Source organism: Homo sapiens, chromosome 17 (genome assembly GCF_000001405.40).
Source record: "Homo sapiens chromosome 17, GRCh38.p14 Primary Assembly".
Taxonomy (NCBI): domain Eukaryota; kingdom Metazoa; phylum Chordata; class Mammalia; order Primates; family Hominidae; genus Homo; species Homo sapiens.
The window spans coordinates 81,184,906-81,197,369 of NC_000017.11; the positions used below are offsets into that span (position 1 = coordinate 81,184,906).

At 63.2% G+C, this 12,464-nt stretch overlaps 1 protein-coding gene across 20 annotated transcripts in view, besides 2 other annotated features; it reads right to left on the bottom strand.

Moving 5' to 3' along the window:
- Positions 2,782–3,353: an enhancer, noted in NCBI's record as "H3K4me1 hESC enhancer chr17:79161487-79162058 (GRCh37/hg19 assembly coordinates)". NCBI's record gives its function as "activates a minimal SCP1, AML or CMV promoter by ChIP-STARR-seq in naive and primed H9 embryonic stem cells {active_cell/tissue: H9 hESC(naive and primed)}" and the evidence as "EXISTENCE:reporter gene assay evidence [ECO:0000049][PMID:30033119]".
- The window catches only part of CEP131 (centrosomal protein 131), a 33,370-nt gene continuing 25,596 nt past the window's right edge, over positions 4,691–12,464 (bottom strand). For 4 of the 20 annotated variants that reach the window (NM_014984.4, NM_001319228.2, XM_047435657.1 and 1 more), the window contains exons 14-26: positions 12,025–12,150; positions 11,796–11,921; positions 10,930–11,046; positions 9,965–10,067; positions 9,021–9,222; positions 7,831–7,938; positions 7,571–7,688; positions 7,413–7,487; positions 6,288–6,430; positions 6,002–6,179; positions 5,734–5,897; positions 5,010–5,070; positions 4,691–4,938 (exon numbers count right to left, since the gene is read on the bottom strand). In NM_014984.4, coding sequence (NP_055799.2) covers positions 4,864–4,938; positions 5,010–5,070; positions 5,734–5,897; positions 6,002–6,179; positions 6,288–6,430; positions 7,413–7,487; positions 7,571–7,688; positions 7,831–7,938; positions 9,021–9,222; positions 9,965–10,067; positions 10,930–11,046; positions 11,796–11,921; positions 12,025–12,150 — 1,596 coding nt within the window. In that variant the 3' untranslated portion in view covers positions 4,691–4,863. Of the gene's footprint in view, positions 5,071–5,733; positions 5,898–6,001; positions 6,180–6,287; positions 6,446–7,412; positions 7,488–7,570; positions 7,689–7,830; positions 7,939–9,020; positions 9,223–9,964; positions 10,068–10,929; positions 11,047–11,795; positions 11,922–12,024; positions 12,151–12,464 lie in introns of all 20 variants that reach the window. The other 16 variants (NM_001009811.4, NM_001319229.2, XM_047435664.1 and 13 more) reach the window with 8 other exon arrangements.
- Positions 8,014–8,731: an enhancer, noted in NCBI's record as "H3K27ac-H3K4me1 hESC enhancer chr17:79166719-79167436 (GRCh37/hg19 assembly coordinates)". NCBI's record gives its function as "activates a minimal SCP1, AML or CMV promoter by ChIP-STARR-seq in primed H9 embryonic stem cells {active_cell/tissue: H9 hESC(primed)}" and the evidence as "EXISTENCE:reporter gene assay evidence [ECO:0000049][PMID:30033119]".

The following is a 12,464-nucleotide window of genomic DNA, read 5'->3' on the forward strand; positions in this document are numbered from 1 at the left end:
GCCACAGCCACAGTGAGCCCACCGGACAGGGGGTTGGCAAAAGTCAGTCCCAGGGCCAGATCCAGCCCAACACCGGCCAAACCTGGTTTTGGACTATCTGGGGCAGCTTTCGCGCTGTGCTCAGAGGCCATAGAAAGTTTGAAAATAAAAAGAAGGGGCCGGGTGCGGTGGCTCATGCCTGTAATCCCAGCACTTTGGGAGGCTGAGGCAGGCGGATCACCTGAGGTCAGGAGTTCAAGACCAGCCTGGCCAACATGGCGAACCCCTGTCTCTGCAGAACGCACATTATTTTTAAATATGTAAAGCATTTACCAAAATTGTCCAAATGCTGGGACCTAAAGTGAGACTCAGTCAAGTCAAAGGACTGAAATATTATGGAACATTCTCTGACCATAGAGAAGCTAAGTTAGAAATTTAAAAGATAAAAAAAGCAGCACAGTTCTAAACAGCCTATGGTTCAAAGGGACCATCCTGCAAATTTGGAAATGTTTCCCACCAAAGAAGAATGAAAATACAACACGTCAACTTGTGGCTGCCGCTCAAACGGTGCCTTGAGGGAAACTCACAGTCTTAGACGCACAGACTCCAAAGGAAAAGGGCCTGGGAATCAATGATCTAAGCATCCTTCCCAAGAAGTTAGGAAAAGAACAAAAAAGGAAGCTCGCAGGAGGGGACAGAAATAAAGGTGGGCATTGTGAAATGTTAAGTTTCCTGCTTTCTGTCCGTCTACCCTGCTGGAACATAAACCCCTCGAGGGCTGGGTGTGGTAACAGGCACCTCTAGTCCCAGCTACTTGGGAGGCTGAGGCAGGAGAATTGCCGTACCCCAAATTCTAGGCCTGGCATCGACAGCACGTGGACTTAGATGATTTGGTTGATGCTGTGAACTGTCTCAAAGAAGCAGGCTCTGCCAGGGAGAGAATGGAGCCCATGAGGGCGGCGAGCCAGGTGGGGTGGAATGAACCCCGGGCAGAGTCCATCTGTGCTTCTAGGGTCTGGCCCCCGCCCCGAAGCCCTCCCCCCACCCCCAACTGCCCATCAACCTAGACAGGGAAGTGAACTAGCTGGGGGGAAGGGAGCCCAGCTTTCTCAATGGTAAGACTCGGGGTGCCCCCCACCGTGACTCAGAGACCCCTCCAAGCCCCTGAGGACCTCCACAGTGTCTTGCTGGGTGAAGCCCACCTCTGTGTTGCTGTCTGTTGGGCACTAGAACTACCTGGAGCAGAAGCAGCGGGAAGGCTCAGGGCAACAGGTTTGACCTGGGGCCTTTCCCGGAAGGCTGGGGCCTAATAGCTGCCCCTGGAGCATAGAGCCGCCCCCTTCCCACCCCACTCCCAGCCTCCCGCACTCCACTCCCCACAGGGAGGAGAAACGCCATCTCAGCCCCCTTCCCCAGGCACCCCTGTCCAGGTGAAGCCGCCTGGCAGACAGGCCCTCCCCTCAATGTTCCAGCCTCTCAGGGACACCTTTCTCATCAGCACAACACGTGAGGCCACGTGACTGGAGGGCAGCAGAGACAGGAATGATACGCAGCCCCAGTCTCTTCATCTAAAATTTGAATTAAAACCCAACAGGCTGGGCATGGTGGTTCACACCTGTAATTCCACTTTGGGGTGGGGGTGATCACTTGAACCCAGGAGTTTGAGACCAATCTGGTCAACATAGTGAGACTGTCCTCAAAAAGTAAAACAAAAGTAGTTGGGCATGGTTTCCCACTACCAGGTAGTCCCAGCTACCTGGGAGGCTGAGGCCCCAGGGGATCACTGGAGGCTAGGAGTTCGAGGCTGCAGTGAGCTATAATCGCGCCACTGCACTCCAGCTTGGGCGACAGAGCAAGACCTTGTCTCAAAAAATAAAAATTAGGCCAGGCGCGGTGGCTCATGCCTATAATCCCAGCACTTTGGGAGGCCGAGGCGGGTGGATCATGAGGTCAAGAGATCGAGACCAGCCTGGCCAACATGGTGAAACTCCGTCTCTACTAAAAAATACAAAAATTAGCTGGGCGTGGTGGCGGGCGCCTGTAGTCTCAGCTACTTGGGAGGCTGAGGCAGGAGAATCGCTTGAACCCGGGAGGCGGAGGTTGCAGTGAGCCAAGATCATGCCACTGCACTCCAGCCTGGGCAACAAGAGACTGTCTCAAAAATAAATAAATAAAAATAAACAAATAAAATTAAAATTAAAACAACAACGAGAAACAAAATCCAAGAGATGCAACGATCCAGAGGCGGCCCCAAATGCAAAAGGCCCTCCACACGTCCTTGTGAGCCAACAAATGAAGGACTCAGGAATGAAGGAGAAATGAACGAGCAAATGAAAAACCCATCAAGCAGGGGCTGGGAAGCCGGGGATGCCCCCAGCTGAAGGCCACACCCGTTTCTCACTCCTTTTCTGGCCATGAGTGTCCCAGGCCTCTTCTCACCATCTCTGTGGAGGTCACCCTGTGTGTCCTGCCGGAGACCTTGTAAACATACTTAGTTTAGTAATTCGCAGCCATTTCAATGATAAAAATACCTTTTCTGCGGCCAGGGCACCCGAATGTGAGCCAGAACAGAAAGCTTGCTTTCCCCGCAGAAAGCTTGGCCCTGCACTGCTCCTGGGAGCCGGTTCCTGGGGGCTTCAGCTGCGGTGACGGAGGTGTGGGGCTCAGGACTTGAGATCCACAGGCCCCCGTTCTCAGAGCCCGCCTGGCCAGCTGAGCTCACATTTGGGTGAAGCTCTGGAGTTAAAGCCCAGCTGAGTGACTCAGCTCTCAGCACCCTGCAGCCAGTGTCACCATCGTCCCTGGGGGCCACTGCCCCCACACAGGCTTTGGTGAGGCCTCCGGAGCTTTGTCCTCAGCATGGGGCCTGGCCAACAGCAACTCATCATAAGGGACACGGCTGTCATCCTCGGCTCCTCTCTGCAGCCTCACCAAGAGGTGCCTGGGTCTCACCCTGGCCCGGGAGCAGGCCCTGGGAGTGGGGTGGCCCCTGAGCTGAGCCTGAGTGCCCAAGACAAGCAGGGCTCACAGTGACCTAGGGGATGGCAGAAGCCGCCCCTCCCACCCCCTAGGCTCTGTCCCTGCTGTGCGTTTCACCTTCACACAGGCCTGGCCCTGTCTGCAAAAGGGGGAAGGCCCAGCAGTGGTTCTGCGTGACCAACCACGACCCCGGGGACCCGCACTGCCCTGTCCTGTGCTCTGGATACCGAGCCCAGTGCCACACACGGCTCCAGGCCGAGCCTCCAGCTCTGATTCCAACATCCGGATGCCCACCTTTGGGCCTCCCGCCACGCCCCAGGTCCACAAGCATGATTTGCACACAGTCCCCTGAAGCCACATTGCCTGGGCCCTGTCCCTGTTAGGGGCGTTTTCCTAGTTCACCCCTGAGGTCCTCAGCTCCTCCTGGCTTGGGCTCCCCGAGGCCTGGACCTGGGAACCTGGGGGGTGGTGAGCGAGAGGGACCCACTGCCCTGCACCCCCTGCCGGGTGGGGGACCCACACCAGATGCAGGACAAGGCCCATCTCACTCACATCCCTGGTCACCGAAGCCCGCAAGGGGACCAGGGACGATGCCACCTGGAAGGATAAAGACGTAAGGACCAGGACATGCCTTGTGTCCAGGGCAGTGACTTGGCCAGCAGGATGGCGCTGGGCACGAGGACCTAAGCCTGGCCAGCCCCTCCTGGGGGAAAGCAAGCCTCAGGCAGGGTGTTGGAGCAGGCCTGGGTAGCCAGCAGCACCTCTGTTCCACAGGGGGCTTCCCAGGACCCCAGGCAGCTGCTGCGGCCAGGGAGGTCCTAGCCATGCTGCAGGTAGGAAGACAGGCTCGGGGGCGATGGGTCTACCCGGTGCAGACGCCGGGACACTGTGGTGTGGCAGCCTGAGCGACCCCAAAGCCCGGTCCCAGGATAGTGCGGCCTGCTTGGAGACCCTTGTCTGCCACCAAGCGTTCAGGCGCGGCTTTGGACCTCCCATCCCAGTGAGATGGCATCCAACACTCACTTCCTGGTCAGTGTAGACGGAGGTGGAGGGAGGGCTGCCCCCCTGAGGATTTGGGGCAGGTTCTGAACTGACCAGGCCAAGCTGACCTGGGCTGAGAACCAGGCTGGGTGTGAAGAGATGCTCTGGGCCAGTGGTACCCTCTCCTGCCTGGGACCTTCCCCAGTGCCCCCATCCTCATGGGTGGGCCCTGTCCATCCCCATTTCTTGAGAGCTCCAGACTGTCACACCTTGACAGCGGGGAGGGTAGGGCTTCCTGTCCCTCTGGAGTCTCTCCAGCCATAGGAGCACGCTGGCAGCCATGGGCTTCCAGCACCTGCAGGGCCACGGCGGGGCCCTCGGAGCTCCTCCCAGGGGGTGAGTTCTGCTGAGTTCCTCCTGCGCCTGGCCAGGAACGGGGTAGGGAATTCCCTGTGCTTGGGACTTCCAGGGTCCAGGGCAAGGCAGGGAACAGGAACTTGGGGGTTGGGTTGAATGCTGGGGAGCTGAGGGCTGAGTGCAGGGGGGCTGCTGGCTGAGTGCTGGGGGCTGCTGGCTGAGTGTTGAGGGCTGCTAGCTGGGGGGCTGATGGCCAAGCTTCGTGATTTCCTGGTCAGCCTGCTCAGGCTGCGGAGGGGAGTGGGAGGAAGAGAGCCAAACCCACGCCTGGCTGCTCTGGGGGTCTTGGGCAGCCTCTAGCCCAGGAGAGAAGACAAGGCAGTCACTCAAGGCGCTGAAAACAACGGCCTCCTTTACTGTTAAAATGCAGCCACAGGTGCTTAGCCGTGGGCATCTCAACCACCAGCCTCTGTGGGGGGCAGGTGGGCGTCCCTGTGGGCCTCTGGGCCCACGTCCAGCCTCTGTCCTCTGCCTTCCGTTCTTCGACAGTGTTCCCGGCATCCCTGGTCACTTGGTACTTGGCGTGGGCCTCCTGTGCTGCTCCAGCAGCTCCTCCAGGTGGTCGGCCCGCTTCACCGCAGCCTGCAGCACACCCACAGGGTCAGGCCTGCTCCCAGCCCCGAGGTCCAGCAGGGCTGGCCACAGGGACTCACCTCATGTTGTGTCCGGAGGCTGCTCACGGCCTCCTCCTTCCTCGCGAGGGCTGTCTTCACCCTGTGGGTAGTACATGGTAGGCTTCAGTGTGGCCCCCGCCCCATGTCCCCAGAGTGGCCTGCAGTGCACAGGGTGCACGGGGCAGCCGCCTGGTCAGCCTGGTCCCAGCCCTGCTGACCACGACTCCTGTGGCTGGCCCAGACAGCTGTCCAGGCAACCCACCTGCTGTGAGTCAGGACCCAACACAGGCCACTGGAGTATGACCCTGGCCACACCTGGGGAGGCCTGGTACCCAGATGGGGTGGGACACCTCGCCCACACCCACCTCTCAGCCTGTGGCAGCAGATGGCACAGGAAGGATGCAGGACCCCCGTGGAGGGAGCTCGCTGGGAACCTTACAGTGCCCCAGCTCTTTCAGCGCCTGTCCACCCAGCCCAGGGCCCCGGGAGCTGACTCCCTGGAGAACTCGCCAGGCCCAGACCCGACCCACTCGGGTGCCCCAACAGGGATGGCCGACACCCTAGACTAAGCACCAGGGAGGAAAACAGATCTAGGTCTCCTGGGCCCCAAACATGGAACCCACACCAGCCTCTGTCTACAGGGCCCTGTCTCTGCATCTCCTGGCCTTCCTCAGCCACAGCCTCCTGGGGCTTGGAGCTGCAGAGGTCCTGCCCGCTCCCCTGCCCCGCCTCCGTCTCCAGCCCTGCAGCCCCCGCCGCCCACCTCCGGTGCACCTCCTCCAGCTCCAGCTGCTGGCGGGCCTGCAGCGTGGCCAGCTCGGCCTTGGCCTGCCGCGTCTCCTCCTCAGAGGCTGCCAGCCGGTCCTCGAACTCCTGGCGGATCACCTGGGCCAGGTTGCTGCGCTCGCTAGAAAGCTGCTCGTTCACCTGGGTGGGCACAGAAGGCAGTGAGCCGGCTGCCAGCGACTGGCTGCGTGCATGCAGGAGGGGCCTGTGGGTGCCCACTGCCCACCTGACACCCGCCCACTCACCGCCTGCGCATCCTCCAGCGCCCGCTCCTTCTGCCGCACAAGGCCCTGCAGACGCAGATTCTCGCCCTCGGCCTCCCCAAGCTGGCCCTTCAGCTCCGAGCACCGCTCCTGAAGCTTCCGCTCCGACTGCTCCAGCTCGGAGAGCTCGGCCTCGTACTTGTCCCGTAAGCGCTTGATGCTGGAGGTGGGGGGAGGGCAGGGTCACTCCAGCCCAGTCACACACGGGTCCTTGCGCCTCAGCTCGTGGGCCTCCCCAGCTGGTGACCCAGCCATGGCGGGTCCTTACCGGCTCTCGGCAGCCTTCTCACTCTCCTCCTTGGCCAGCGCCATGTCGGCCTCCAGCCGGTGAATGACCAGCTCAATCTCCTTGTCCCGGCCTTTCCGGATTTCTTCCCTCAGCTCCTGTTCCCGGTTCAGCAGCCACGCCTCCTGGGGGGACATGCGCTGCCTGGGGGTTGCCACCCGGAGCCGGCCCGCGGGGCCAGGGCCAGCCTCAGGGGGTCCTGGGGGGCTCCAGGCTCTGAGCCACAGGGGAGCAAGGGGCCTTCCCCCTCTCCAGACCCCTGTCCAGGGGTGCGCTACGTCCTGTTGTCAGGACCCAGTGTGGGCATAGGCGTACCAGAGATCGTCATGATGCACAGCCCACGGTCCCCTCCCTCAGAGACCCACAGCCCATGACAACCTGAGGCCACCTTCTGCTACCAGATGGGATGGGAAAGTTGGACTTGCGTGTTGCTGAGGGCGGGGCCTGGGCCCCCAAGCCCAGGCATTCAGAGCCTAAGCTGGCAGCCTCCTGGAAGCCTCTGAAAACTCCCAGAGTTTCATCTGTCCAGCCCTGGGCCCCACAGGGCTACGTCGGGAGCATGCTACTGGGCCCAGAGGCATCCACTGCCAAAGCCTGCCTGGCTGCTCGGTGACATCCCAGCCCACCAGGGTGTGAAACCAGGTGACGGGCACGGTCAGCCTGGACTGTAGCCTCGCGGCGGGCATGGGTGGTGAGAATGTGTGTGGGACTGTCACCGTGGCAGAGTCCACCCCCCACAGAAGGCCCCAGAGGCTAAGGGGGGAGCCCCTGTTGTGCGTGTCCCTCTCGGTACATCTGAGTGTCAGTGGGCTGGTCGTGGGGCGCAGGGGTGTAGCAGCCCCTAGCGAGAGGGGCAACGCCTGTTCTCGGACCACAGAGGATGCGCTCCAGGCACCCTTGATCCTTCCAGAGCCCACGCAAAAGATGGGCTGAAAGCAACACACTCAGCGTCAGTTCAGACAACAACCCCAAGCAGCCAGATGTGACTCCCAGAAACGAGCCCCCAGGATGCCACAGCAGCAGCAAAACCCACCTGGGGCAGCCCCCAACTCCTGCCCACGCAGGGCAGCCCCCAACCCCTGCCCACCTGGGTGCCCAGGCCCCCACCTCCTTCCTGGTGCGGCCGGCCTCCCACGCCTGCCTCTCCAGCTCCAGCTGCTGCTTCAGGGTATTCAGCTCCATCTGGGGGGCGGACATAAGAGGCCAGTCAGTCCCACCCCGTGCAGCCCCCTGGCCAGGCCCAGCACAGCCCTCCGGTGGTAGACCTGGTGCCGGCGCTCCTGCTCCTCCCTGCCCTTCTCAAACTCAGCCCTCAGGGCTCGGGTCAGTGCAGAGCTGCTCTCCTCCAGCTGCTGCCTCAGCTCTTCCAGCTCCGCCCGCTGCCTGCGGCCAGGGAGGAGTCAGCAGGTGAGGGGTCATCGAGTAAGGAGTCAGGGATGGGAGAGGTCAGCGGGTGAGGGGGCGGGGGGGAGGGGTCAGCCAGCGAGGGGTCCCTGGGAGAGGGCGTGGTGCCCCCGGGCGGCACCTGGCTGCCTGCTGGCCCAGCCGCTCCCTCTCCTCAGCCACCTCACTGTACAGCCGCTGCCGTTGCTGCTGCAGCGCCCACTGCTCCTGCTCCAGGTGCTGCTGGAACCTGCGGGACGGTCAGGACTGGCTCTCGGGGGCCGGGACGGGCGGTCCCAGGACCCACCCACCGCAGGGGCACGGGCCGACCACAGGCCTGACTCACAGCTGGAGAGCAGCCCTCCGGGGCCCTGCCCCTCCCCCTCGGCAGTCAAGGCCCCTCAAAGCCACCGCCCGGGGGCAGGCAAGGCCACGAGGAACTTGCCCATCAGCCAAGCGCAGCAATTCCCTGAGCTCCAGGCCCTCGTGGCACTTTGGGAAGTGGCTGTGGAGCCGCGTCCAGGCCCCCTTTTCCCTCAGCCCGTGTGCCGGCCTCACCCTGTTCAGCATTGCCCCACGGGCATGGAGGGCGGGAGGCAGGTGCCTCGTGGGGCCTTATCCACCTCCCCTGCCTCCGGCCTGAGGGTGCCAGGTGCCTGGCTCCGTGACCTGAGCAAGCTCGCGCCAGGGCCTCGTCCTGACCCCACCTTCGAGGAGAGACTGGGGGACCAGCCAAGCTGCATCTGGGGAGGACCAGCCACGACAGGCAACAGGGTGGATAGGAGAGGGTGGCTTCCAGGCTGTCCTGGTGGCGCAGACAGTGCAGGAGGGGCTGCCACTGCCCCCTGTGGCCCGCAGATCCTGACCACCACTGGGCACGTCCCCAGCCCCCAGGGCTCAGGACGCAAGAGCAGCAGTCACCCCTCAGACCCCAGGCCAAGGGAGTGAATGAGAGAGACCGTCCCTGGGCCCCAAGGTCAGAGCTGGAGGGGCCTCGAGGCCGCCTATCCACGGGTTGCTGCTCTGGGGCCAGTTGTGAAAGAGTGGATGTCTGGTGGGGGTTCCCAGCCCTGACCCTGGGAAAACACCCGTGCACCCATGCAGAACCTGCAGACCTCGGCGGGCATGAACTGCAGACACAAGCCCGAGGACACTGGCCCGGCTGAGGCTGGGCCCCCAAGGGCCACTCCAGGGCCAAGGGCCCTGCGTCCTCCCTGCATGCTGCACTAAGACCCTCGCCCACCTCTACATGGGAACTCCACTCCAGCCTTCGAGGATTCCGACTCCCCGCCCTGAGGGTCCTGGCCCCACCGGCCTGGGGCCACCACCCACCGCTGCCGAGCACGTTCGCGCTCCTGCTGGCCCAGCGCCTCCTTCTCCCGCTCCAGCTGCTCCCGCAGCTCCTCGGCCTGGCGCAGGCAGCGCTGCGAGGCCCGCTCATCCGACTGCAGCAGCTCCGCCTCGTGCAGGCTCTTGAGCCTCCGCACTTCCTGCTTGTGCCTTGCAATCAGCTTCTGGATCTCGGGCTCCAGACCTGGGGGCGGGGCACCAGCTAGGGCCACGTCCAGCTAGGGTGGGCCCGGGAAGTCCAACCCTGGCACAAGACCAGCCTGTCTCAGGCCCAGAGGGGACCCCGCCCACCCAGGGCCTCCTTGGATCCAACCCGAAGCACAGCTGAGTCTTGACGCCCACGAGGTGGGGAAGAGACCCCCACAGGGCCACGGCGCCTCTCCCAGCCTGTGGGGCTCAGGGCTCCTGACACTCCTGGTGCTACCACTGACGGCTCCCAGGCACCCTGGCAGGTGTCCAGAGCGAGAGGACCAGGCCTCGGGGAGCCCTGCACATCACCCAAGGGTCCGAGGCCCCTTCAGACCACAACACCCACCAGCCTCCTGCCCCATCCGCCTGCCTGCCCCTGCCTCCTCCTGTGGCTCACTCTGCTTCCCGTGGCAGGGCCCACGTGCCACAGTCGTCCACAAACTCCCAATCTCCCCTAGCCCAACCCTGAGGAAGTGAGGCACTGAGCCCCCTCGTTTCAGGCAACTGCCTAGATGCTGGGGGCTGGGCCAGGCTCCTGTGTGGAGCCCACCTGCCCCCCGGGTCACGGCAGAAGCCGCAGCGGAGGCCGTGACGGGGGTGGTTGGGGCATGAGTGTTCACCTCTGCCCAGGAAGGTCTCGGACTACATGAATGCCTGAAGTTATGGCTCTCTCAAAAGAAGCCCTGGCCGCAGCACCCACCCCACACCTGGCCGGCTCATGGGAGGGGAGGGCCCACCTCGGACAGTGACCTCCTTGATCTTCTTGGTTTTCTCACTGATCCACTTCTCCCGGCGGGCTTTCTCGGTGGCGCTCATTAATTCTTTGAGTTTTTTAATCTCCTACGAGCAGAACAGGGCAGGAGGAAACGACACGAAGGACACCCCCGTCCCTTTGCCACCCTGTGGGCACAGTCAGGGCCGGGCTTCCAGGTCCACCAGCACAAGGCCGGCACTCATGGTTGGGTGTGCTGCCCCGAGACAGAGCCACTGCTGCCCTCCCCAGCGCCCGGGGCCAGGCTGGAGGCCCAGGCCCACCCTGCCACACACCTTGGTGGCCTGAGACATGGGAGGGCAGCCATCAGCCTGCAGAGGCCTTGCCCCAGAGAGGGGTGCTGCTGCCTGTCGGGACGGCCCCAGAGCCTGCATTCTTCCATGGGACTGGCAGTCCTCAACCCCGGCTGTCAGCCACAGTCACGTGCAGGGATTTTAAAATGCCAGTGCCAAGCCCCACTCCAGAACCTGGGCTCGGGACCATCACTGCCCAAGCTGGTGGGAAGCATAGCCAGGGAGGCTGAGGCCCCCAGGGAGCTCACACAGCGGGAAGGGGCGGGGAGTCAATGCTCCACCGACACCTGGTCAGTAGAGAGAGCAGGTCCCATGGCCCAAGGACCTGGCAGTGGGGCAGACCAGGCAGAGGCTCCTGGGTCCACGGCTACCGTGCTGTGGCCGGGCAGGGACTGTGCGTCCACATCTGTGACAGCAGGCCCACGGCCCCGCCCCAGAGCCTGGCAGCTAGAGAGGCAGGAGTGGACCAGCTCGGTGCCACGGTGCTCCCCCAGACAGCCCCACCCACCGCTGTGGCCCTGACACACCGAGACAGGAATGAGGACTCCAAGTCCGGTCCTGTTCTGGGGGCTGTGCCAGCTGAGCCTGGCCTGTGAGCCGGGCTTGGGACGCCGTGCAGTAGGGAGCAAAGCCTCACCAGCTCGTGCTGCGCCTGTGCCTGGGCCACACGCTCGGTGCATCTCTGGTCCTCCTGCTTCAGCTCGGCCACCACAGCCTCGCACTTTTCACTCAGGACCTTCTTGTCCTCAATCAGCTGTGTTGGGGACCGGAGGTGAGGTGCTACACCAAGGCCCCAGCCCAGCAGGACCCCTGATGGAGGAGACCCTCCCAGCCTCCGAGGGAGGCTAACAGCAGCCCTCCCCTGGGGCTGCCCCTCCTAGGTTTGTGGATGGACCCTGGGGCCAGTGGGGGGGCACGTGTGCAAACACGGGCCCAGGCCTGCATCCGCCGTCCTGTCCTCAGCTGGGGGACCCGGCGAATGTCAGAGAAGCCCCAGCCCACCCCCTGCAGTGATGTCAGGGTCTTCCTGGGATGAGGGTAGCTCTGCCGAGGCCATCACCCAGCCCTGGAGGAGGCTCACTGTCTGCCAAAGGGTGTCAGGACCACACCAGCCTCACTGCCGGCCCCAGGCCAGACCCCAGGTCAGGACACACCTGTGACAACTATCAAGCAGCCCTGGAGGCCCCTATTCTCACACACCCCAGACCAACTCTAGGTCTCTTCTCTTCAGAACAGGAGCCAACCGGGGCTGCGACTGAGCTGAGGGGCCGGCAGGACACCCCACTACACTCACACGGGGCGGCTCTGGATAAAGACAGGAGTGCCCTCTCCAGGGCATGCATGGCTGGGAATGGCATGGGAAAGGCTTGGAATGCGTCCAGCGGACACCCGTGTGACACCCAACAGAGGAAGAAGCTCCCTGGCAGTGGGAAGCCCCTGGCTCTGGAAGTCTCCATGAGCCACGCGCTGGGTCCGGGCCTCTGCGCTCCCCGGGCCGCTCACCTGGTCAATGAAGGCCAAGTGCCGCTGGATGGTGGCCTCGTAGTGCTCCCTCTGCCGCTGCAGCTGCCGGCTCAGCGCCTTCTCTGTCTCCTTGACCCGCCGGGCCGTGAGGTCTCGCTGCTGCGCCTGCAGGGTGTGGGCAGAGGAGGGAAGCGCTAGGACCGGTGGGCCTGGCCTCAGCAGGTAGGAGGCTAGCAGGGCCCGGGATTAGCAGTGCCAGCAGCGTTACCAGCGCTCTCTGCAGCAGCAGCATGGCCTGCTTCTTCTCCTCCACCTCCAGCTTCAGCCGCATCACAGACGTGCTCACCTCGGACCCCAGCTCCAGGGGCCCCGGCCCCGCCTCCGGCACCCACCCCTGCAGACACAGCCGAGCGTCAGGCGGAAGCGGCAGAGGACGGGGGGCAGCCAAGGACCTGACACGATGCCCCTGCGGCCCTGCCCTCTGGGGACAGAGGGGCTGCTGCACACGGGAGCCCGTGGGAAGCCGGAGGGCAGGTGGCAGGCGGCCCAGCAGAGGTCGTTTTCATTGCTCAGTACAGGAAATGGGGGCCGTGGCCTCAGGAATAAAAAACAAACCATTTAAAAAGTTCTATGCTGCCCAGCTTCCTGCCCTGTGACAATAAAGTTCACGTCACTGCTCCATTTAGCCTGGCCGCTAGTGTTCACCCA